A 26962-nucleotide genomic window follows, 5' to 3' on the forward strand; every position below is an offset into this window, starting at 1 on the left:
TTTCTGGCACAAGAAACTCTGTCATCTTGTATAAATAGGAGAAATTTATGACAGTTTTCCCTCTTCTTCTCCCTGGTGGGCTACTAGGAAAGGTCCCGGGGGAGGAGGGAGCCTGAAATTCCAAAAATATAAATGTGGAAAGACTGGAGGGGGTTGAAGAGTCTCTTTGCCTGCCTTGACTCTGGCCCCAGCTCTCCTTTCCCTTTGCATGTTTGACCATCTGGGTGATGCAGAGGGTAGAGAGCTGGTGCAGCCCGTTCTCTCTGCAAGCCCAAAAGAGATGGGTCCCAAAGCAGATATCCGACAGGAGGGGCACAAGGGAAATCAAGAAAATAGGCTTGGCTGTCCCATGAAATAATTGGAGGAGACACAGACCACTTGCCCTCCTTCCTGGATTTGGCTATTTTTGTACTTCCCTGTTTGTTGAGGCAGCCTGATACAGTGGGAAGAGAACTCGTCCTAGATTTAGAAAGATTGACAGAGAAACTAAGTGTGTGACCTTAAGCAAGTCATATCTTCTCTCCGGGCCTCACCTGTAAAAAGAGGGAGGGGACTGAATTTATCAGGGGTTTTCAAATGAGTTTAACTCTGGGGTCCTTCCTTCAAATAAAACCGTATGTAGTGACCCAACATGAACACGAGTAGTAGCCTGCTGAGCTTCTTGAAGGTAGGAATGGGAGTCAGGGCCCTGTGGTGACTGGTGAGAGGCTTGTCCAAGCACAAGATGATCTCCATGGCCTTTCCAGCCCTGTCCTCAGGAGGGATTTGCCCCCATGGTGAAAAGGCTCAGTTCTGTACACCCAGTGGGCTTGAAATCCAGCTCCACCCCCTCTTGTGTGTCCCTCAGCACATAACTTACCTTCCTTGAACCTGTTTCCTCTTGTTTAAATTGGAATAGTAACACATATCTCAGAGGATTGTCACATAGATTACACTAAATAATGTGCATAGAGTCCTTTGCATACTATCTGGCCCAATAAATATTATTATAGTTATTCCGTGATCTGATGTAATCAGTTTTTTATTTTGAGACAGAATCTCATTTTGTAGCCCAGACTGGTGCACAGTGGCATGATCTCGGGTCACTGCAACCTCCGCCTCCTGGGTTCAAGCAATTCTCCTGTCTCAGCCTCCCAAGTAGCTGGGATTACAGGAGTGTGCCACTGTGTCCAGCTAATTTTTGTATTTTTTAGTAGAGATGGGGTTTTACCATGTTGGCCAGACTGGTCTCGAACTCCTGGCCTCAAGTGATCCACCTGCCTCAGCCCCACACAGTGCTGGGATTACAGGCATGAGCCATGGCACCTGGCCTGATATAATCTTCTTAATTTGAAATATCTGGTGTGAGAAGGTGAATTGGAAAGGATGACAGCAAAACTTCTATAACACAAAGGCCCCCAAACACAGTAGCATATAGAAAACAGAAGTTTATTTCTCACTTAGTCTGGGAGGAAGTTGTTCCAGATAGCAGGCAGCTCTGTTCCTCCTAGTCAGTCAGGGACGTGTGTTCCTTTCATACCTTTGCTTTGTCTTCTCTTAGGGATGTCTTTTCAGTTGCCTGGTCAAACCTGTCTCAGGCACATCTGCCCAGCTCATGAAAGAGAGAACACAAAGGAGAATTTACCCAATCCGTCAGGCTTTGAGGACATGCTCACCTCACATTCCCCTGTGTCTACACCTGGCAATAAGAGCAGCTGGGAAATGGAGTGTCCAGCTGGGTGTCCCTCCACCCTCGTGCAGCAAGGAAAGAAGAGATTTTAGTGGACAATGGGCAGTCTTAATCCAGGGCTCAAACCCACACCTGAGCTGTCCTCTTCCTCTTCTCTTCCCAAAGGAAGGGAAATAAAGTCTACAGCCCAGAAAACAATGTGACCACCCATCCCCTACCCAATCAGGTCCCTGCCATTTATCCCAAGATCAGCTGTCTTTCTTGGGAAAGTGGCTTGGAAGCCTCTCTCCAGAAAGACCACCCTTCTGTCCATCTTCTTCACATGGGTGGATTTGAGAAAAGTTTCTGTCCCCACTGCCTGCCTGCCACTCCCTGTCTCAGTTTCAGCTCACGCTCTAGCCCTTCGTTCCCAGTCACCAAGAATGACTACAAATGCGGGGGAACAGGAGGACTTGAAACAGTCATGGAAATTGAGACTGGGGCACAGAAGCCATGCTCAGAGGCAGCGTAGGTGAGGGTTCTGATGCCAGGAAATCCAGCTACTACTGTGTAACCTAAAGCGGGGATTAAGCTCTCAGAACTTCAATGAACTCTTTTGGAAATAGGGATAAGAAACCCACTTGTCAGGGCTGTTGTGAACATCAAATGTGATCATGTATGTACCTAGTACATAGTATGCCTTCAATAAATGGTAAGGCAAACCCAAGGCAAATTGAATTCATGTCCATTACTCTGACCCAGCCTTTGCATAAATTGTTTTTTCTTCTCCTTCCTTGTCAATGCATGGCTCCCTCCCTCTTCTTTACTTCCTATCCTCATTCCCCTACCATCTGAACCCTGATGTGGAATCTCTTTTCTCAGGAAATCTTCCATGATTGAAACATTCCTGCTTGGCCACTTCCCACTCCAATACTCTATCTTCGCCCATCTTCCATCTACCCCATGGTCCTGGCCCAAGTTTACACGTGTCCCATTTCTCCCTTCAAAAAGCATGCAGCAATGGAAGGGCTTTAAGTTTGCCATCAAGCAGATCAGAGTTCACATGCCAACTCTGCCAAGTTCTAGCTTTAGGACTTTGTCAGATCACTTCCCCTCTTTGAATCTCTGTCTTCCCAACCCTCTGGTGAGGTCAAGTGTGTGTGGGCTGGTACATAAAGGATATTTAATCTCCTCTGCTCTACCCAACCTCCCCCAACTCACACTCCCAGGACTAACTCTCTACTAAAGGGAGTTATCAGACCAAGAAAGTAATTCTCCCATTACCAGCCCCACCCCAACCCTGCTGAGGGAAAAAGAAGTGACTTCGAGTCTATGGGTCTTGGAGGGACCACCAACCCAAGAGCTAGAGCAGAGGAAGGACTTGGATATCCCAGATTCCAGGGTTATAGGATCTCTCCCCAAGCCCTCATATGCAGCCCCAGTTGCAGGACTAGCTTCAGGGATAGGAGTGAAAGAGTTGATCTGATTCCAGTCTTAGCCTGTAAGTAGTAGCTCACCTGTGCCTCTATTTTCAACCTTCCTAGATCAGAAGAGCAACAATATCAGTGACAACTAATGCTTACATAGTGTTTCCTATGGGATGGGCATTGTTCCAGGCTCTTCGTACATATAACTCATTTAATCCTGACAGCAGCCTTTGAGCTAGGTACTATTAACCCCATTTTACAGACAAGGAAACTAAAGCACAAGGGGTTAAGTAACTTGCCTAGGTCATACAACTCACATAAGGCATGACTGAGATTCAAAACCAGGCCGTCTAGCTCCAGAATCCATCCTGTTAACCACTCTGCCATAAAAAGAGCTAACATTTACTGGCAGGTTCTATGTGTCAAGCACTGTGGAAAACACATGGCATGTATTTCCTCTAATTCCAAATAACCCCCTGAGATAAGTTCTATTATTGGTATCCCTGTTTTACAGGTCAAGAAACTAAGGCAGAGAGAAAAGTTAAGCAACTTGCCCTGAGTCACACAGCTAGATATTAATAGTTTCAGAACTCCTAGCTGTTTTGCCTCAAATCCCACCTCCCCACCCCTGCTCAAAGCCCCTCCCCTTCTAGGTGGGTTGTTTTAGTTCCTATCACCAGTTCTTCACAAATCGGCTTTACCCCCCACAGCCTACAACCCTTGTTCTCCAAAACTCCTGTTGACCTCCGTCCCTTTCCCTTCCCACTTTCTCCCTAGACCCTCTGCTCCCCACAAAGTCCCCCAAACCATTCTGTCCCTCTCCCTCTGCTCCCCACCCACCCTCCCCCACAACTCCTGCTAAAACAGATGAATTTCACCAAAAAAGACCATCAGACCTTCCCCAAGCAGGCCCCCACTGTGCCTGATTGCACACCCCCAGGGGAGGCACCACAGTGGCTAAGCTGGAGAGCCAGAAATAAAATCCTCATTCTACTTCCCTGCCCCTTCTTCCCATCACTCATCTGGGAATCCAGGGCGAAGAAGGGAGCTAAAGTGCAGAGCATTCATTTAATATTAACAAATTGAAATGAATTCTTTTAATGCCAATTAACTTGGAGCGGCCCCTTATTAATAGTAATTTAGATTCATACTTGGGAGAAGCAGGGATGAGGGCTGGGCCAAATGTGCCCAGAATGTCAATGTGACTGGGGAACTGAAAGGGGAGGGGTGGCAGTTTTACTTCTGCCCAGTTGGGTTCTGTTTCCCTGAGAGAAATGGACAGTCACTGGAGGCGGATCTTTGGGAAACATAAATTACTCTTGTAAGTTTATTTTTGTTACTTCAAGGAATCTGAATAGTTTGACGCCATGTCACACCATTTTAAGAGTTTATTTTCACAGTAATGCTAAAAAGAAGAATTTCCTCAGAGCTGGGATTTACTTCAAACTCTCTCCTAAGCCAAACCTTACTGACCAAAGGGACAAGTCCCCAGGCCAGCTCTCTACCCTTCTTTGTTCAGAGCTAGAGCCAGAGATCAATATGGGCTTCCCCAGTCCCTGCCCCTTCTACCTTACCCAAAACTAAAAGGAAGAATCAACACTGTGTGTCTCTCTGAGAAGTCTCCCTCAGGAGATAAAAGACCCAAAGGGCTGACCCCTAAGCTAACAGCTTACATTTAAGGAAGAAAAACAATCTGCCTGCACTTTTCTTAGAATTTAGGGAAAAAATGAGAATTTAAAATTCAATTTCATGTATCAGAGTTCTCCAGAATACAGCCAAGTGGAAAGAACTTAGTCCCAAATGAAAAAGTTGAGCAGAAATTCTTCTCTCACTCGTTTTGCCGGCTTGGAGGTCAGACTGGAGGTGTCCTGAACTAGAACCAGAGCATAGGTTCTGACCCAAGAAGGACACTGTCTACTTCCCAGGCATCCCTCCTTGGCTGGGAGGAGAGGGGAGGATGAGTCCATTGGAAGCTGAGAATTGTGGAAGCTGGGGATGGGAGTTTTGAGATGGAGGAGGCAGGCGTGTGAAGGAGGTCAGGGAAAGGCAAGTAAATCTACTAATCATTGCAGTTTATAAAATAAAAACCTTAAAAATGGTTTAACATGCAAAAGGTTAAATTTTAAAAAGAGGCCAGGTTTTAAAGAAGGTAAAATACCTCAAATTTAGACATAATAAAAATGAGGAAAATACTCAAAACATTTCAAGCAAATTGTTCTTCAGAAGAGGAGAGGTTGGAATTAATCAAGAGACCTTTGTTACACACACATCCCCCAAGAGTTTCCCAAACAATAAATTCATTTACAAAACAAAATAGGAATCAACACAAAACCTCATCCACATACAGAGAAAAATAAATTGTGGTGATTCTGTAACAGCTGAAAAACTAGTGAGGGAGGAGAAAAATGAATAAACTCTAAATCCATTAGGTGATATTTATAAATAGCAAAATTGGAGGATGGAATGGAGAAAAGAGTTGAACTTATCATTAAAGAAGTAACACATGTGAAAACATAAGGTGTAACTCATCCCCAAAGAAAAGTAAACTCTCCATAAAGTAGCAAGTATAGAAATTTATTGAAAAGGAGGAAAGTACCACTCACCCCCCCAATATAAGCGTATTAATTTGAATTAAAATTTTCTCCAAATCCGAGATAGGTTACGCAAAAGAATACAAAAAGATTATTTTTCTTTCAACTAAGAGGAAAAACAAAATCCGATTTAAATTCACTAATGGGACAAGAAGGGAGGCTGTGGTTTGCAGGTGCTAGTAAACGGGATGAGGGTTGTGAAGAGTTTGAGGGGTAGAGGACCAGCTTACCTCGCTTTGGAGCCGCAGCGGCCAACAGGAGTGGGCAAAGGACCCTGCCAGTGCCTGAGTGATAGGGGAAATAAGGAATAGGGGATTCGGGTGCCCCTAGACGAATGAGGAGGATGGAAAGACTGGGGGTGCCCATCTCCCCTCCTCTGCCCGCCTCCCTCCCTCCGGTACCCAGGCCTAGAGAGCTACTGAAAGTTACAAATTGCTTCCATTATTAGCTCATCCCGGGCGGCCTGGTCATTGGCCAGCCCCTGGCCACGTGGTCCCTCGTACCAATCGATCGAATTTCTAGTCGCAATTCTCTGTCTGTCCCTCAGCTCTGGGGAGAAAGTGGGGGCTGTGGCGTGGGGGCTGAGGTCCAGTTTGGGGCGGGGTGGGAGAGGAGTCCTTGAGTATCCTGTCCCAGGGCCAAACCCCCAGGAGTCCAATCTTCAAGACATCCTTGAGCCGACTTCCGCCGATGGAGGGGGATCTTCAGGGTGCCTGCTGGGTTCTCAGGACTCCTCTTCAGATCCTAGTTTTGACCCCTCCGGGTTAGAAAGGATGGGCTCAGCACATCTGGTGAGGCAGGCAGGTCGTCGCTGCAGCACAGAATGATCCCATGGCCCTCAAGGCGTGGTGTCAGCTGAAAGTTCACTGATCTGTGAGCCCTCTGCCTCCCTCCTCCGTTGAAAGAGCAGTGGCGTGCCCCACTTCTAAAAGCCCTGGGGCTCCTGCAAGCGGACACCGCTTTCCAGGACAGGTGCAAACAGGGATGGTGCGAAGCCGAGGTGGAGACAATGCGATCACGCGTGGCACTGGCGTATCCCACAGCAGATGGTGTGAATGTGTGTCACCGGAGGCATATGGGGTGATGGCAAAACCAACAATGGTGTCCAGGCATGTGCCCGGTGGAAAGGGGGAACAAGTGGCCTTTCCCTGAGTGCCAAGGGAACTCAAAGAAGACCTGGGAACCTGGACGGGGCCTTTGCCTCAGTCCAAGCCACATTTTGAAATGCCTGCCAGAGGAGCACAGAGGTTTCTGCAACATTCACCCTACCCCGAAGCCTCCACCGCCCAGGTAGCCCTGATGCAACTTCCCTGCAACCGGCCCCAACCCCATCCCCAGGCCCAGCCCAGTTCCTTTGGTTTCCTGACATTCGTTACAGACAAAAGATTCAGGGAATCAGTCCACCTATGAGCAGAGGAGAGGATATCCCTCATTTGTGAGACAGGACGTGCAAAGGAAATGGGACACCACCTGTCTTAGAAGACAAGGCCAGTCATGATCACCTAGCGCTCATTCTAGGCAATCCACCCACCGATGAGGTGAAACAAGGAGACCAAAGAAGCTTCCCTGTCTGAGACACGCATGGAAGCCAAGTGTTCCAGGCTTATCAGACCTGCCCAATCCAGCAGAAACAGGTTTGGAGAGAGAAAGAGTCATGTCGCGGATCTCCAGAAAGTGTCTCCCTGATGGACTGGGAAGCGATCTTCGTAGAATTTATTCAGCCAGATCAAGAGGCAACTAGGCCCCTCAGAAACAGGGGAGACAGAGCAAGAGGGAGGACAGAGCACAGGCCAGAGCCCAGGCAGGTTACAGAACCTTGCCACCGCCACAGGCATAAGGGGAGGGGTGCGAAACGCATGACTTGTCCAGAGAGGCCAGCATTCCAGGGACAGGGATTGTTGCCGTCTCCCATTCCCGGCTTCCTCTTCAGAATTGTATCGTGGTGTGGCTTCATTGCTCAGAGAAGAGCCGTGCAGGGGTACAACCATCTTCTTGGAGGTGTGTCTGCTCCTCTCCTGCCGGACAATGAGCTGCTGTGGGGTTTTGTCCTGGGTTGGAGTGTGGTCCTCTTGATCCTAGAAAAGAGGCCGCTCAGGATGGGGATGAGACTTCGATTGCTCCGGGACCGACGCATCTCCTCACGTGATCGAGGACTTCACAAACCCAAAGTGGAACCGCCGTGAAAACGATGGACAACCGGCCACGGGACCCAGACAGAGACACAGAAAGAGGCTCAACAAAGACTGGCCGACATGCAAAAAATCGCATTTTGGCAAACAGAGCACATTCGTCCAAAGACACACACACACACAGACATGCACACACAAACACACACACACACAGACCAACAGAGAGAGGGAAAGAAACACACAGAGGGTGAGAGACAGAGAGAGAAGAGAGAATGGGAGACACACACACACACACAGTCCTACAGTGGTGGCACAGAAACACACATTCCCAGGCAACCCCTGAGGTTAACTAATAGTGGAAAATATGTATCTAAGAATACACTTGGAACAGAAATGTGAAAAACCGAAAGTAAGAGATATTATGAAGGAGCAAATATAAAATGACCCAGTGCTAAAGAGGCCACAAAGAAAATTGTAGAAGAAAATGACAAGAGGCATTGTGCCTTAATGAGTTTGTGCTTCTATATAAGAAAATACACTAGGCTGGGTAATTTCTGAAGAACAGAAATGTATTTCTCACAGTTCCATAGGCTAGAAGTCCAAGATCAAGGTGCCAGCAGGATTGGTGTCTGGTGAGGGCCTGGTCTCTGCATCCAAGATGGTACCTTGTGCACTGTGTCTTCAGGAGGAGAGGCACTGTGTCCTCACATGGCAGAAGGCGGAAGGGTAAAACAGGGGAAGCCCACTCCCTCCAGTCCTTGTGTAAGGATCCTACACCCATTTGTGAAGACTCTCCCTTCATGACTGAATCACTACCTAAAAGCCCTACTTCCTAATCCTATGACATTTGTGATTAATTTTAGGGGGACACATTCAGAGCATAGCACCCTATATTCAATTTCTTAAAAATTATTTTGTTGTTTTGCTTTTCTGTTTTTCAAATGGCTTAAGTGCACAAAATTGGATTAATCATAATCCTTGGCTCATAGTACACCTTGGCTCCTATTTCACCCTTGTCTGTGCCTGGGCCTCTGTGTAAATGTATTTGAACAATATGGTAATCACTTGTCAACTTACAACACAACCAAAGAACTAGGGTTCTGACCCTAACATCTGCTCCTCCTCTGTCCTTTTTCCTGATTTTCACCCTTCAGCCCGAGAGTAACTATTACCCTGAATTTATGTTTAGGATTCTCTTCCTTTAAAAAAAACACATTGTTTTATTGCATACATATGATTACCCTAAATGACATGTTACTTAGTTTTTAAGGGTATAATTTATTTACCCATTCTCCTATTAATTTACCCATTCTCCTATTAATGAACATTTGGCTTATTTCCAGATTTTTCCTATTATGAATGGCATTACGTGAGGATTTTTTTTTTTTTTTTTACTACATCTTGTACATATGGGCAAGAGTTTCTCCAGGGCCTATGGTAGAGAAATTACTTTGCCATAACATATGAGAATGCTCAAATTTATAAGATAATCCAAATTGCTTTCCAAAGTGGTTGTTCTAATTTAAACGCTCACCTCCTGTATTAGTTCGAGATGATCTTGTTGATCCACAGTCTCTCCATATATGGTGATATGGTTTGGCTGTGTCCACACCCAAATCGCAGCTTGAATTCTATCTCCCAGAATTCCCACATGTTATGGGAGGGACCCAGGGTGAGGTAATTGAATCACGGAGGCCAGTCTTTCCTGTGCTATTCTCATGATAGTGAATAAGTCTCATGAGATCTGATGGGTTTATCAGGAGTTTCTGCTTTGGCTTCCTCCTCATTTTCTCTTGCTGCTGCCATGTAAGAAGTGCCTTTTACCTCCTGCCATGACTCTGAGGCCTCCCCCACCATGTGGGACTGTAAATCCAATTACAGTTCTTTTTCTTTACACCTCTTTTTCTTCTCAGACTTGGGTATGTCTTTATCAGCAGTGTGAAAACAGACTAATACAGTAAATTGATACCAGTGGAGTGGGGTGCTCCTGAAAAGATACCCAAAAATGTGCAAGCAACTTTGAAACTTGGTAACAGGCAGAGGTTGGAACAGTTTGGAGGGCTCAGAAGAACACTGGAAAATGTGGGAAAATTTGGAACCTCCTAGAGACTTGCTGAATGACTTTGACAAAAATGCTGATAGTGTTTTGAACAATAAGGTCCAGGCAGAGGTGGTCTCAGATGGAGATGAGGAACTTGTTGTGAACTGGAGCAAAGGTAACTCTCGGTATGTTTTAGCAAAGAGAATGGCAGCATTTTGCCCCTGTCCTAGAGATTTGTAGAACTTTGAACTTGAGAGTGATAATTTAGGGTATCTGCTGGAAGAAATTTCTAAGCAGTAAAGCATTCAAGAGGTGACTTGGGTGATGTTAAAGGCCTTTGGTTTTATAAAGGAAGCAGAGCATACAGTTTTGGAAAATTTGCAGCCTGACAATGTGATAGAGAAGAAAATCCCATTTTCTGAGGATAAATTCAAGCTGTCTGCAGAAATTTGCATAAGTAACAAGAAGCTGAATGTTAATCCCAAAAACAATGGGGAAAATGTCTACAGGACATGTCATAGGTCATCACAGCAGCCCCTCCCATCACAAGCCTGGGACCTAGGAGGATAAAATGGATTTCTGTGCTGGGCCAGGTTGACTGTGCTGTGTGTAGCCTAGGGCCTTGTTTCTCTGCGTTTCAGCCCCTCCAACCATGGCTGAAAGAGGAAAACATAGAACTCAGGCCATGGCCTTGAGAGTGCAAGCACCAAGCCTTGGCAGCTTCCATGTTGTGTTCAGCCTGCACATGCATAGAAGTCAAGAACTGAAGTTTGGAAACCTCCACCTAGATTTCAGAGGATGTTTGAAAACACCTGGATGTCCAAGCAGAAGTTTGCTGCAGGGGTGGTGCTCTGATGGAGAACCTCTGCTAGGGCTGTGCAGAAGAGAAATGTGGGGTCAGAGCCCCTATACAGAGTCCTTACTGGGGCACTTCCTAGTGGAGCTGTGAGGAGAGGGCCACTCTCCTCCAGACCCCAGAATGGTAGATTCACTGACAGCTTGCACCATGAGCCTGGAAAAGCTGTGGACACTCAACGTCAGCCCATGAAAACAGCCACGAGGTGGGCTATACCCTGCAAAGCCACAGAGGCAGAACTGCCCAAGGCTGTGGAAGCCCACCTCTTGGATCAGCATGACCTTGATGTGAAACATGGAGTCAAAGGAGATCATTTCGGAACTTTAAAATTTGACTACCTTGCTGGATTTTGGACTTGCATGGGGCCTGTAACCCCTTTGTTTTGGCAAATTTCTCCCATTTGGAACGGCTGTATTTACTCAATGACCTGTACCCCCATTGTATCTAGGAAGTAACTAGCTTGATTTGGATTTTACAGGGTCATAGGCAGAAGAGACTTGCCTTGTCTCAGATGAGACTTTGGACAGTGGACATTTGGGTTAATACTGAAATTAGTTAAGACTTTGGGGGACTGTTGGGAAGGCATGATCGGTTTTGAAGTGTGAGGACATGAGATTTGGAGGGGCCAGGAGCAGAATAATATGGTTTGACTATGTCCCTACCCACATCTCAACTTCAATTGTATTGCTCAGGATTCCCATGTGTTCGGGGAGGGAACCGGGGGAGGTAGTTGAATCTTTAGAGCCGGTCTTTCCCATGCTATTCTCGTGATAGTGAATAAATCTCACAAGATCTGATGGGTTTATCAGTGGTTTTGTCTTTTGCTTCTTTTGCCTCCTTCTCATATTCTCTTGCCACTGCCATGTAAGAAGTGCTGTTCATCCACCACCATAACTCTGAGGCCTCCTCAGCCATGTGGAACCCTTAATGCAATTAAGCCTCTTTTTCTTCCCTGTCTCGGTTATGTCTTTATCAGCAGTGTGAATATGGACTAATACATTTTGTATTGTCAAACTTCTTAATATTTGTGGAGAGAATAGATGTGTAGTATCTTGTGCATTTCCCTGATTACTAATGAGGTTGAGAAAATTTTTATGTTTTGCAGGCTTTCTCTTTTGTGAAATCCCTATTAATGCATTTTCCCAATTTTCTGTTGGGTTGCTATTTTTAAAATTAGAAATAACTGTCATCAATCCAAAAGCTTACACATGGCAGATCCCTTCACACCAGTTCACAGTACAAAGTAACTCCTTGCTTGTAGAAAACATTATTATTATCATTATTATTTTTGAGATGGAATTTGACTTTTGTAGCCCAGGCTGGAGTGTGATGGTGTGATCTCGGCTCACTGCAACCTCTGCCTCCCAGGTTCAAAGGATTCTCCTGCCTCAGCCTCCCAAGCAGCTGGGATTACCAGTGCACACCACGATGGCCTGCTAATTTTTTGTATTTTTGTAGAGACAGGGATTCACCATGTTGGCCAGGCTGGTCTCGAACTCCTGACCTTAGGTGATCCACTTGCATCGACCTTCCAAAGTGTTGGAATTACAGGCAGGAGCCACCACACCCAGACTAGAAAACATTATTCAATAGCAAACAGTAGCAGTATGCTTGGGGGTTTTAGGATTGATTATTTTCAAATCTCTAGAAAAGCTCAATGCATTACCTTAGGCTATAATCTCAGGGCAGAGTCTCATCTGTTAATGTGGGGCTGGTCTAAGGGTCCTTCCACCTCTCAGATTTATGGTTTCCGATGTTGAACTGCTCCCTGTCACCCACCCATCCTCGGTTTTGTTTGTTTGTTTTTACAGAGACGAGGTCTCACTATATTGACCAGGCTGGTCTTGAACTCCTGGCCTTAAGCGATCCTCCTGCCTTGGCCTCCCAAAGTGCTGGAGTTACAGATGTGAGCCTCTGTGCTCAGTCCATCCTTGGCTGTTCAAGTGTAGAGGTAAGTAGTAGATGCCAAGTTTACCTCCAGGTAAGAAGGGGCAGATGCCCCAGGGCAGAATCATAACCATAATCAGGCCTCCCACTGCATGAGACATTATGTTCTGAAGCTTAAACCTGGACAAAGGTCTGACCAGTAGCACTGTGTTCATGAATGTCAGGTCAAAAATTTAAAACTGGGACTATCCAGAAGAACCTGGTAGATGCAGGTGCAGTCCACAGTCCAATGGTCAGCCTTGATAACAGGCCACCTGTACTTTCTCTTTATCATGGAGTCCTTGATGTAAAAATTGATGACACTTTCTTGCTTCTGGTGTGCTTCCCTTTCTTCTTCATTTTCCATAAGTAGTTTCCTCCATCCCGCCTCCCAACAGGCCACAGTCAATTCAGGACATTTTAACCATGAAAATGAGTCTCCATAACACGAATTTAGAGGCCAGACAGGGTGGATCACGCCTGTAATCCCAGCACTCTGTGAGGCTGAAGTGGGGGAATGGCTTGAGCTTAGGAGCTTCAGACCAGCCTGGGCAACATGGTGAAACCCTGTCTCTAACAATAAATAAATAAATAAATAAAAATAAGCCATGTATGGTGGTGCATGCTACTAGTCCCAGCTACTCAGGAGGCTGAGGTGGGAGGATTGTGGGGCCAAGGAGGTCAAGTATGGAGTGGGCCAAGATCATGCCACTGCAATCCAGCCTGGGTAATGGAGTGAGACCTTATATCAAGAAAAAGAAAAAGATTTAAAGGACAGGCTGACTTTCTTGTTACAAGCCAATGCTCATTTGCTATTCCATAAATCCTAGGGCACCTCTTAAGAATTATGCTAAATCTACACTACCCAAGCTCTATAAATGGAACAACAACACTTGGATGATATCAGAGCTGTTTACTGCATGGGTTACTGAGTATTTTAATCCCACTGTTGAGACCTACAGCTCAGAAAAAAAGATTGATTTCAAATACTTCAGCTTTTTGACAGTGTACCTGGTGACTAAAAAGCTCTAATGGAGATGTACAGGGAAATGCATGCTGGTTTCATGCCTGCCAATACAACATCTATTCTGTAGTCCATGGATTGAGGCATCATTTTGACTTTCAAGTCTTATTATTTGAGAAATATATTTCATAAGGCTGTTACTGCCACAGGTCATGATTCCTTTGATGGATCTGGGCAAAGTCAATTCGGAACCTTCTGGAAAGGATTCACTATGATAGATGCCACTAAGGACATTCATGATTCACCAGAGGAGGTAAAAATAGCAGCATTAATAGGAGTCTGGAAGAAGTTGATTCTGACCCTCATAAATGACTTTGAGGGGTTCACGACCTTAGCAGAGGAAGTAACCACAGTTGTGGTGAAGATAGCAAGAAAACTAGAATTACAAGTGGAGCCTGAAGATGTGAGTGAATTGCTGCAATCTTTTTTTTTTTTTTTTTTTTGAGATGGAGTTTTGCTTTGTTGCCCAGGCTGGAGTGCAATGGCGCAATCTCGGCTCACCACAACCTCCGCCTCCTGGGTTCAATTGATTCTCCTGCCTCAGCCTCCTGAGTAGCTGGCATTATAGGCATGTGCCACTGCATCCGGCTAATTTTGTATTTTTAGTAGACAAGGAGTTTTACCATGTTGGTTAGGGTGGTCTCAAACTCCCAACTGCAGATAATCCATCTGCCTCAGCCTCCCAAAGTGCTGGGATTACAGGCATGAACCACCGCACCCGGCCAAATTGCTGCAATCTTAATGGAAATAAATGGAATTAGATGGAAAAAAGTTCAGTCTGGGGCTCAGGATCGGCTCTCCCTTTACTACGACATTCACGTGCAGCGCACCAAGGAATCAGAGAATTCTACACTCGACTTTGACCTTGTGGGTTATTATGGCAATATATTTATCATAATATACTGTGAATATTTATCAAAGTAGGAGAATAGAACATATTTAACTATTTGTTAGCTTCATTTATAACTCATAATTATTTAGACGTAATGCAAATGTGGGCTGGAATTCATGTTCTGATTTTTTGTGGCCTTGAGCTAAGGAAAAGGGACCCAGGGAAATGGGCTTTATATGCTTGGATGGCTTCATGGAATCCCCAACTTCCTTAGCTTCTGTGACAACTCAAGATTGTTACTAAAATCCACTTTGTATTATCTTTAAAAACCAAGGGATATCATTTCTGCTTATATAATATATATTATAATACATATTATATTATGATAAAATATATAATATAATATAATTAATATAATAATATACAATATATAATATTATATAATATAATTAATATAATAATATACAATATATAATATTATATATTATTATATAATGTTATATAATATATAATTTATATTATATAATAATACATATATAACATATATAAAATACTATATTATTGTTGCTTGTTATGAATGAGGAAAGAAAGTGGTTTCTTGCGATGGAATCTACTCCTGGTGAAAATGCTGTGAACATTGTGGAAAGAACAACAAAGGACTTAGAATATCCCATAAACTTAGTTGATAAAAGAGTGGCAGGGTTTGAGAGAATTGGTTCCAATTTTGATATAAATTCTACTGTAGGTAGAATGCTACCAAACTGCATAGCATGCTACAGTGAAATCTTTTGTGAAAGGAAGAGTCAGTCAATGCAGTAAACTTCATTGTCATCTTATTTTAAGAAATTGCCACTCCCTCTCCAGCCCTCAGCAACCACCACCTCGATCAGTCACTAGCTATCAACATTGAGACAAGACCATCCAGCAGCAAAATGATGATGACTTACTGAAGGCCCAGATGATGGTTAGCAGTTTTTGGCAATCACGTATTTTCAAAGTAAGGTATATACATTATATTTTAGACATAATGCTATTGCACACTTAATTGACTACAGTAACTTAAACATAACTTTTTTTTTTGAGATGGAGTCTGGCTCTGTTGCCCAGGTTGGAGTGCAGTGGTGCAATCTTGGCTCATTGCAAACTCTGCCTCCCAGGTTCAAACAATTCTCCTGCCTCAGCCTCCTGAGTAGCTGGGACTACAGGTGCGCACCACCATTTTTGTATTTCCGGTAGACACAGGGTTTCGCCATGTTAGCCAGGCTGGTCTTGAACTTCTGACCTCAGGTGATGCACCCACCTCGGCCTCCCAGTGTGCTGGGATTACAGGCGTGAGCCACCATGCCTGGCAACATAACATTTATATGCACCAGAAAGCAAAAAATATCGTGTGACTTGCAAAAAATTTCGTGTGACTTGCGCTGTTGTGACATTCACCTTATTGTGTTACCTAGAACCAAACCTGCAATATCTCCAAGGTGTGCCTGTATCCCTAGAAGCAGAGCTGGAGTAAGGACTTCGGTGTGGGTGGTTTATTTGGAAAGTGATTCCAAGAAGCAAGAGTCAGAAGTGGGAAGAGTGAGCCAGGCAAGAAAGAAAAGCCAAAATAATGGCATGCTATTGAGGCTCCTGCCATGCAGTTTTTTCTGCAGGACCTTCCGAGAGGCTCCGGAAAGTTATCCAGAAATGCCCACCTGAAACATGAGCCTGGAGCATTTGTCCACCTGTCCCACACTGGTTGAGGTCTTCCCCTGAGGCTGTTAACCTGCAAGTGTTTCTGGGCTGTATTTGTGCTCAGGCAAAATCGTACAATAATGGAGATTCCCTAGGGCAGAAAGTGTATCTTGAGTTTGCTGGCAGCACAAGAGAAGCCTGTGCTTCCATGGAACTTCTCACGGTGTCTGAGACTGAATGAAAGGTGAGCTGAGAAAACATGACGCAGGCGCCATTGCACTAAGCAATCATAGCCATCGATCTGGGCAAGAGGACCCCTGCCCTGAATCCTGCACTTGAGAAGGTGCCTCTCTGGCCCTCCACTGACTGTACCCTGGCCCACTCAGAGCTTCACCCTCTCTTCTAGGGCACATGCTGGGCACTCAGGGACCTGGCGAAATGTGCCTGAGCCTGCATGGCCTCTTCCCTGGGTCCATTTCAAAGTGCAAACTGTGCTTGTCCAAATGGTGCCCAAGGATCTGCTTTCTGAAGGGGTGAGAATTGTGGATGGAGCTTGCATGGGGCCTAGGGAGTTCCCCACACAAGGGTTTGCAAAGCTTCTCAAGTGAGGACAGGGCTACCTACGATGAAAGAAAAAAGTTTAGCCTGGGGCTGATGATCAGCTCTCCCTTTACTACCACATTCCTGTGCAGAGCACCAAGAAATCAGAGAATTCTACACTCAACTTTGACCTTGTGGGTTATTATGGCAGTATATTTATCGAAATAGGAGAATAGAACATATTTAACTATTTGTTAGCTTCATTTATAACTCATAATTATTTAGACATAATGCAAATGTGGGCTGGAATTTACGTTCTGATTTTTTGTGGCCTTGAGCTAAGGAAAAGGGACCCAAGGAAATGGGCTTTATATGCTTGGATGGCTTTGTGGAATCCCCAACTTCATTAGCTTCTGTGGTGACTCAAGATTGTTACTAAAATCCACTTTGTATTATCTTTAAAAACCAAGGAATATTATGTAGATCAGTAGTTAGAAGGTACTTGACTCAAAATATGTATGAACCAAAGGATATAAATGACTAAAAGCAGAAGGATTATTACCTGAAGTGGTGGAAGGTTGATCTCAGGATATGACCTGTGAGATCCTTCCTGCTGGCTCAGTGCTGGCTGAACGGGGGGTAGGAGAGCACCAGGAACAACACACATCTGGGACAGGAGGGAATCCGGGGAGGAAGGAAAGAGAAATAGGCCTTTTTATTTTTATTGATACATGACAATTATACATATTTGTAGGGTACATGTGATATTTTGATACATGCATACAATGTGTAGTGATCAAATCAGGATAATTTGCATATCCATCACCTCAAACATTTATCATTTATTTGTGTTGAGAACATTCCACATCTTTCCTCTACTCATTTTGAAATATATAAGTTATTGTTAATGATCATCACCCTACTGTGCTATTGAACACTAGAAATTTTTCTGTTCCTTCCATCTAACTGTATTTTTGTGTCCATTAACCAACTTCTGGGAAGGGCAAAAGAGTGGGTGGATGAAAAGGGCCCTTTTTAAGGAAAAGTAAATCTTACAAGAAGGGAAGACATCTTAGGAGGAAAAATAAAAAGGTGGACCATGGGCTTAGAGTAGGGACTGCAGAAATTGAATGGCAAAGAAAAAACCAACTTAGCAATGTGAAAATACATCTCAATGTCATTCTTTTCGCAGGTCCAGTGTCTGATTCTTTTGGGAAGCTGGATATGAAGTCAGAATCTTTCTTTGAGTCATACATTTTCATGATTATGATTATTATTGAATGATAGCTGACAATTATTGAGAGCAATTATTGAGGACAATTATTGAGCTTTCACAAGCCCTTTTCAAAGGTCTTTACATATATTTTCTCCACTTCTAACTGTTAGATATTCTTATTATTCCCATTTTGTAGATGAGGGATACACAGGCATAAAGCCTATGTGGAGGCAGAGAGCAGCTACGTAACCTGACCATGGCCCAACAGCAAACAAATGATGGGGCCACATGCAAATCCAGGCAGAATCCTTCTATTATATGAAGCTCAATGTTTTCTTGTTTGCAGCTTGTTATGAATACATCTATTTGCAAATGGGTTTTGAAGCTACTTTAAAACATTTTGTGGCTGTGCGTGGTGGCTGGCACCTGTAATCCCAGCATTATGGGAGACCAAGGTGGGCAGATTGCCTGAGCTCAGGAGTTTGAGACCAACCTGGCCAACATGGTGAAACCCTGTGCCTACTAAAAATACAAAAAAATTAGCCAGGTGTGTTGGTGTGCACCTGTAATCCCAGCTACTCTGGAGGGTGAGGCAGGAGAATCACTTGAACCCAGGAGAGGAAGGTTGCAGTAAGCTGAGATCATGCCACTGAACTCCAGCCTGGGCAACAGAGTGAGATTCTGTCTCCAAATAAAAAATAAATAAGATTGAATTTTGAGCTCCTGACCATGTCCCTAGATTGTACTCATATGTATTTTGATGTCTAATAAGATTTATTCTCAGTGCATTTTTTAAGTGAAAGTATTTATTGAGCATCTACTGTATATCATGTGCTGAAATAGGCACCAGTGGTGCAGGGAACATATGGCACAGTGTCTGACCTCAGGTAACTTTCACTCTCATACATATGTATTAGGACACCAACACATGTGTGAATATAAGATAGTATGATAGATATTGCAACAAGTAATTATTTACTGTAAACCTATTTTATAGGATTTTAAACTTAAACTACTTTCACCCTATTTCCAAAAAAAAGTATTGCATAACTTTAAATAGATTCTCAGTTTGAAATCATCATACAAACTGCAGTAGCATCTGCTGGTGAAATACTGCTTTGTATCTATTAGAATAGTCCAAACAATTGTGAGACAACTGCATTATTAGAGCTGTAAAAGTTATTGTCTAGAAATCTCAGAGAAGAAGAGGAAGTTCTATGGTAGATGAATAAGATGACATCTAAACTGTTCTCTTCAGCTACTGAAGTTCTGTGGATATCTCACAGCACAAAGTTCAAGTGTATGCCCACAGCTCCTCATGCCACAAGATGTGACACCTTTCCAATCTCTTTTTGCAAAAGTTTCCAATTATGTCTCTTTTAAGAGTACTTTTTATACCCACATATTCCAGATTTTGTGGTGCACGCAAAGACAAGATGGGAAGGGGCTTCCATTTATTGATGCCAGCTGCTCCATGGACCAGGCCCTGCCCATGCATCCATGTTGGTTCTTTTATCCCCACATCAGCCATAGCCCATAAGCATTAACTGCCATTGCACAGATGAGGAAATTGAAAGTCTAAGAGAATATGCAATCTACCCAGAGTCATGCAGCTTGTGTATGTAAGGGTTGGAATGAAAATCCAATCTGTGTGAGTCCCAAGTCCCCTTCCACCATATGGTTTCCATTTCATTTTGCAATCAGATTGGCTGGGATATGTCTGCCCTAAAAGACAGTAAGTAGGAATATTTGTCTCTATACCTTAACCTGACATCCATGGGCTTGCTTTTTGTATTTGGAGGTGTCATAACATTATAATAATAATTTGATTTTATTTGTACAGTGGATATTATACTACTCAGTCTAGAGATTTATGACATCCCAGTCTAAACTGGATGATAGCAATGAAGCTTCTTCAAGGAGACAAGTATGAGTAATAAGGTAGTAATAAGCTGAATTTCTATGGAGTTGCTACTTCTGAATTAAAACTAGTTGAGATTAAGTAGATATTCAAAAATATTGCTATAATCTTCACTTGAATAATACAAACATTTATTATTTTTACATATTTATTTATTTATGGAACATAGATGTAATTTTAAAACAATATTTTCAAATTATATTAAAATATATTAAAAACATAATACATTATCACCCAATAGAGTTTTTCAAAGTAACTCAGTGTTAGTTTAAAATGTGAAATTCAATCAACATAATTCACCATAGAATACAGTGTGTATGTCAGTATAATATATATATCAAAATTGGAAAGCAGTAAATTTATCTTTGTTTTGTAATAAGATGAAATTAAAATTTTAATGAATTTCAACTTTCATTTTAGATTTCGGAGGGTACCTTTGCAGGTTTATTACATGGGTGTATTGTGTGATGCTGAGATTTGGGGTATGAATGAAAGTGTGAGTGCCTGTTTTGAACTTGCACCGAGAGCAATCTCCCCTGATCAGCAGAGGGTAAACTAACTTGAATTACACTTGAATTTTTTAGTAGAGCAGGTCACAAAGGGCAAATTGTAGTCCAGAGGCAAAAGTGCTCAGTGGTCTAAAATGAGCCTGCCATATCACTGAGGGTACAGGTCTTCACAGAAATATATTTCAGAAAGACGTCAAACCCTTGTTTAAAGATAAATGTAAGCTGGGTGTGGAGGCACACGTCTATAATTCCAGCTACTCAGGAGGCTGAGGCAGGAGGATCCCTTGAGTTCAGGAGTTTAAGACCAGCCTGGACAACATAGGAAGATCCCATCTCAATTTTTTAAAATGAGAAAAAAATAGATAAACTTAAGCATATTAAAATTTTAAAGAGTTTATTTAAGCAAACAGAGATTCATGGATCAGGCAGCTCCAAACTGAAAGTGGTTGGAGGATCTACTGGAGGTGTTTGTAAGGAAGGCTTTTACAGGGTGAATATAGAAGTAAAGTAGAGAAATTATTTGATTGGCAAAAATGTGGGCAGTTGCATTATTTGAACTATCCTGGTGGTAGGTCTCTCATTACCCAGCTAATACTCAGCAGGCCACCTGTGGGTGGGCTAAGCTTGTTTCATTTTGTCTATGCAGGAACCCTGGCCATGGGAGCTATCTCAGCCTAATGCTCTCCCATTACAAAATTTTACACCTTCTTTCTGTATCAGGGTAAGTGGGGATCTTCCCCAGGAGGGTTCTTACCACCCTGTTTCCCTCAGCAAAATGAAACTGTCCCTTTTGCCTCTGTAGGCAATCTTCTGAACAAGGCATTCCTAATATTCTTATCTCATCTTATTTTATCTTATCCTCTTCTCTGTACCTTGTTTACATGCTTCTGGAACACTTGTGTGTCTTGCACCCATCTCCTCCATTATTTAGGCAATCCTAACAGAAGGCCACTAGGATGGATTGGAAGAGAACTGCTGGCATATTGAGCCCTCTCTCTTTGTATCTGGAACTTTCATAATTACCTTAGTTCTCCATGCCAATTTTGCACTTATCTTTGTTCTCCACTTCAAAATACATTTACCTCTGACAGCAGCTGAGTTCATAAAAGGGAACTTGTCCAGTGGTACTTATGAGGCAGGAGACATGATATAGTTAAAATTATAAACTATAATCACTATATAGTTATATATTATATATAATCACTATATCACTCCAGGGTTGAAGTGATACTCCTGCCTCAGCCTCCTGAGTAGCTGGGATTACAGGCATGTGCCACCACACTCGAATAATCGTATATGTTTTAAAATAGGAATAGATTTTCTCAGCTAAACGGAAGGGAAATGCTAAGGAAAGAGTGAGATTTTACTTGATAATTATGTTTCTGAATGAATCAGCCAATTAATAAAATGAAAACAGGCCAGGACAGTGGTGCATGCCAGTCATCCCAGCAATTTGGGAGGCCAAGGTGGGCAGATCACTTGAGTCCAAGAGTTTGAGACAAGCCTGAGCAACATATCAAAACCCCATCTCTACAAAAAATACAAAAATTAGCCAGGTGTGGTGGCTCATGCCTGTAGTCCCTGCTACTTGGGAGGCTGAGGTAGGAGGATCACCTGAGCCTGGAGATGTAGAGGCTGCAATGAGCTGTGATCATGCCACTGCACTTCCAGCCTGGGTGACACAGTGAGACCCTGTCCCAAAGAAACTAAACTAAAATGAAATGAAAACAAACACAAGACAAAAATTGATGGACTTATTTTAACACTTAGCATGATGAACACACATAGATAACAATACTAACCCAATGGGTTTTTGTCAGTCAAACTCATGGTCACTAGTCTAAAGAAAATAGGAATAATGACTGTGAATTAACAACCATTTACAACATTAGAAATACAAAATACAAATTATCGTCAGATATATCAGACTCACAATTATTTGACCTTTTAAGAATTCATCCTGCTCTCCATAATGAATAAGAAAATACTGATAACTCTTTTTTCCCTTAACTTAATCCTTTGTGCTCCTGAATCTCTGAATTTGTGTTTACATCTTAACACTCTTTTTTGTAATTATTTTCTGCAGCTTTTTTCTCTTCACTTGAGGCATCTCCTATATTCTCTTTACACTTTTCCACAAATGACTCAATTTTTTTCGTAAGCTTCATTGATGAGTTCCATGTATGTGATGATAGTGTAATGATAAATTATCCATGTGGTTTCCCTCCAGTCTTGTTCATTATTCAAGTGACTCTCCTTGGTCTAGCAACAGGCTAGGAGGTAACTATGACATTTTGTTCAGGTTAAGCAGGAAGAAGAAAACAAAATCTACATTCTCTTTTTTATATTTTAAACACAAGCCAACAAATAATTTGGAAAGACCCATGATTAGACAGGGAGGATTTTATGCTCCTTCAAGAGTAATTGAGATTGTTTAATTGTATGGAGGAATGAGCATATCTCAAGGGGAATTGAGAAGGTATAATATTTGGATGACAGAATCATTAAGAACTGGCTTTGCACCCTGGCTACACCATTGCACATAGGAAATATTAGGGTGCAGGGGTGCATGCCTGTAATCCCAGCATTTTAGGAGGCTGAGGCAGGTGGATCACCTGAGGTCAGGAGTTCAAGACCAGCCTGACAAACGTGGTGAAACCCCATCTCTACTAAATACAAAAAATTAGCTGGGTGTGGTGGCACATGCTTCTAATCCCAGCTACTTGGGAGGCTGAGGCAGGAGAATCACTTGAACTTGGGAGGTGGAGGTTGCAGTGAGCTGAGATAGTGTCATTGCACTCCAGCCTGGGCAACAAGAGCGAAATTCTGTCTCAAAAAAAAAAAAAAAAAAAAAAAAAAATCACGGCCCCACCAACTTTTTCACATAGGATGATTAAGGATTCCAGAGCCCATGCTACCTCTAGGGGCTCCTACCCCTGCCACACCACACATATATCTTGACAGGGCCTGTTATAGAGAAGAAAAGGCCCAGTAAATTAATATCACAATCATTGCCACATACCCACCAAAAGACTCAGATTAAAATTTTGACGAAATTAAGTGTCAAGAAGAATGCGAAGATTTGGGAATTATCAGACATTGTAAGACTGTCAGTTGCTGTGTTAACATTGGGATGAAACCCATAATAACTGGTAAAACTGAAGATATGTTTACCCTGTAACCGTGATTTCACCTCTTGGTTTATACTGTACATAAATACACACTAATGGTAACCAAATAGAAATACAAACATGTTCACAACAGCATCATTTGTAACTGATGAAAATGAACACAACCCACATGTCCACCAACAATGAAGGGATACACACTGGTGTACTGTAGTTTTATTTATTTTTATTTTTTTATTTATTTTGTGTATATAAATATAAATTTATATATATTTTTTGAGACAGAGTCTTGCTTAGTCGCCCAGGTTGGAGTGCAGTGGTGCGATCTCGGCTCACTGCAAACTCCGCCCCCTGGGTTCAAGCAATTCTCCTGTCTCAGCCTCCCCAGTAGGTGGGATTACAGGCATGTGCCGCCACTCCTGGTAAATTGTTGTATTTCTGGTAGAGATGGGGTTTCACCTTGTTGGTAAGGCTGGTCTGAAACTCCTGTTCTGAGGTGATCCACCTATCTCGGACTCCCAAAGTGCTGGGATTACAGGTGGCAGGCACTGCGCTTGGGCTTTTTTTTTTTTTTTTTTTTTTTTTTGAGACTATCACTCTATTGCCCAGGTTGGAGTACAGGGCGTGATCTTGGCTCACTGCGACCTCCATCACCTCCCAGGTTCAACTGATTCTCCTGCCTTAGCCTCTCAAATAATTGGGATTACAGGCACACACCACCACACCTGGCTAATTTTTTTTTTTAACAGAGTCTAATTCTGTCACCCAGGATGGAGTGCAGTGGTGAAAACTTGGCTCACTGCAACCTCTGCCTCCCAGATTCAAGTGATTCTCCAGCCTCAGCCTCCTGAGTAGCTGAGACTACAGGCATGTGCCACCACACTTGGCTAATTTTTTCTATTTTTAGTAGAGATGTGGTTTCACTGTGTTTGCCAGGATTGTCTCCATCTCCTGACCTTGTGATCCACCTGCCTTGGCCTCCCAAAGTGCTGAGATTACAGTCATTAGCCACCACGTGGCCTAATTTTTGTAGTTTTAATAGAGATGGAGTTTCACCATGTTGGCTAGGGTGGTCTGGAACTCCTGACCTCAAGTGATCTGCCTGCCTCGGCCTCCCAAAGTGCTGGGATTATAGGTGTGAGCCATCATGCCTGGCTGGTGTACTGTTTTAATAGAATGCAGAAACAATGCTAAGTGTGAATCTTAAATACTTAATATTGAGTAAAAGGTGCCAGATGCACCAGGATACAGACTTTTACTCCAATTATGTAAGAGAAAAACCAGGCAAAATCAGACTTTACTTTAGGCATATAAAAAATGCATAATAAGGCCAGGCATTGAGCTCAGGAGTTCTAAACCAGCCTGACCAACATGCAAAACCCCATCTCTACTACAAATACAAAAATTATCCAGGCATGGAGGCACATGGCCCATGCCTGTAATCCCAGCTACTTGGGACGTTGAGTCATGAGAATCGCTTGAATCTGGGAGGCGGAGGTTGCAGTGAGTCAAGATCATGCCACTACACTCCAGCCTGGGCAACAGAGTAAGGCTCCATCTCCAAAACAGAAAAAAATATATAAAATACATAATAAAATTATAAAGAGAACCAAGGAGAGGATGGCAGATATCCACAGGTAATGTGGATATCTGTTATATCTGTTACTAATAAGGGGAAGGAAGACTTTAGGATCAGTTAGGGGCATACAGAGGACTTCTCGGTGGTGATAGTGCTCTATTTCTTCACCTGGATAGATATCACACAGATGTTTATTTAATAATTGATGTATCCATACCTTTGTTTGCATATTTTAAAATAAGAATGAAATAGAGGAAAGGAAGGTGAATGGAAAGAGATTTCTCCATTCATCAAAATTTTAAAGTCATGTTTTTCCTCAGGTTCTTCTCCAAGCTCAGTCTGAAATGACGAAAGCAGCCAAGCATGGTGGCTCACGCCTGTAATCTCAGCATTTTGGGAGGCTGAGGCAGATGGATCACCTGTGGTCAGGAGCTAAGACCAGCCTGGCCAACATGGTAAAACCTCATCTCTACTAAAAATACAAAAATTAGCTAGGCGTGGTGGTGGGCACCTATAATCCCAGCTACTCGGGAGGCTACAGTGAGCTGAGATCACACCACTTGACTCAAAAGAGCGAAACTCTGTCTCAAAACAAAACAGCAACAACAATGACAAGGGAAACAGGAAAACATCCTCAATAATAGAGGACTTACCAAATTGGGTGCAGCCACTCATACTGTGTCTTGATTTGTAGATAAAGAAAATGATGACCCTCCCTAGGTACTGATTTAGAGTGACATTTCTGTGAAAATAGAGAAATACTTACATATCCATAGAACACATATATGCATTTAAAATTGTATATGAGCATGACATATACATACATATTTGTGTGCATGACACCTGCATCCTTGTATGTTTAAATACGATCTGGCAATTGCATTCTTTGGTATATACCCAAATATTTGAAAACTTATATCCACTCAAATCCTGCACATGAATGTTATAGCAGCTTATACACAACTGACAAAGATTGGAAGTAACCAAGATATCCTGCAATAGAGAAGTGGATAAACTAACTCTGAAACATTCATACAATGGAATATTCTTCAGGAATAAAAAGAGATGAACTACCAAGGCATGAAAAGACATGGAGGAATCTTAAACATGTATTTCTAAGTGAAAGAAGCCAATACAAAAAGGCCACATAGTATAGAGTTCCAATTATATGGAATACTAGAAAAGGGAAAACTAGGCAGATGGAATTATAAAAAGTTCAGTGGTTGCCAGAGGCTTGAGCAGAGGGAAGGATGAATAGGTGGAGCACAGAAGATTTTTAGGGCAGTGAAACTTTTCTGTGTGACCCTATAATTGTGGATATATGTTCTTAAGCATTTGTCAAAGCCCATAAATGGTAGAACACAGAGAGTGAATCTTAATATTAGCCATGAACTTAATAATATCAATATTGGCTCATCAAGCATAACAAATTACCACACTAACAAGATGATAATAGAGGAAGTGTGTGTACTATGGTGTGAGGTGGATATTAGAGCTCAATATACCTTCTGCTCTATTTTTGTGTATACCTACAACTGTTCTAAAAATTAAGTCAGTTATTTATTTATTTATTTATTTATTTATTTATTTATTTATTTATTTTTATTGAGATGGAGTCTCACTCTGTCACCCAGGCTGGAGTGCAATGGCCCGATCTCGGCTCATGGCAACCTCCGCCTCCCAGGTTCAAGCGATTCTCCTGCCTCAGCCTCCTGAGTAGTTGGGATTACAGGCACCAGCCACCACGCCTGGCTAATTTTTTGTATTTTTAGTTGAGACGGGGATTCACTGTGTCAGCCAGGATGGTCTTGATCTGCTGACCTCATGATCCACCTGCCTTGGCCTTCCAAAGTGCTTGGATTACAGGCATGAGCCACTGCGCCTGGCCTTATTTATCTTTTTGAGACAGGGTTTAGCTCTG

The 26962-nt window shown here is 42.8% G+C and overlaps 2 long non-coding RNA genes across 10 annotated transcripts in view; one reads left to right on the forward strand and one right to left on the reverse strand.

Annotated features, from left to right (window-relative positions):
* Nucleotides 1-1412: 1412 nt before the first annotated feature.
* Nucleotides 1413-6088, reverse strand: FAM242E (family with sequence similarity 242 member E). Of its 2 annotated transcripts, none has more exons than NR_184154.1 (2): nucleotides 5897-6088; nucleotides 1413-1583 (listed from the first exon to the last, which is right to left on the reverse strand). It is a non-coding gene; the product is annotated as a family with sequence similarity 242 member E (long non-coding RNA). The 2 variants fall into 2 exon arrangements; NR_184153.1 differs by having other exon boundaries at nucleotides 1413-1591.
* A 17-nt stretch (nucleotides 6089-6105) lies between these two features.
* LOC107987007 (uncharacterized) overlaps nucleotides 6106-26962 on the forward strand; it is a 70552-nt gene continuing 49695 nt past the window's right edge. For 2 of the 8 annotated variants that reach the window (XR_007061534.1, XR_007061536.1), the window contains exons 1-2: nucleotides 6106-12643; nucleotides 15318-15471. This is a non-coding gene — a long non-coding RNA (uncharacterized LOC107987007). Of the gene's footprint in view, nucleotides 12644-15119; nucleotides 15472-15928; nucleotides 20622-20980; nucleotides 21056-25361; nucleotides 25462-26962 lie in introns of those variants that run through there. The other 6 variants (XR_007061537.1, XR_007061538.1, XR_002956859.2 and 3 more) reach the window with 5 other exon arrangements.

The sequence above is a fragment of the Homo sapiens genome, chromosome 9 (genome assembly GCF_000001405.40).
Source record: "Homo sapiens chromosome 9, GRCh38.p14 Primary Assembly".
Lineage (NCBI taxonomy): Eukaryota > Metazoa > Chordata > Mammalia > Primates > Hominidae > Homo > Homo sapiens.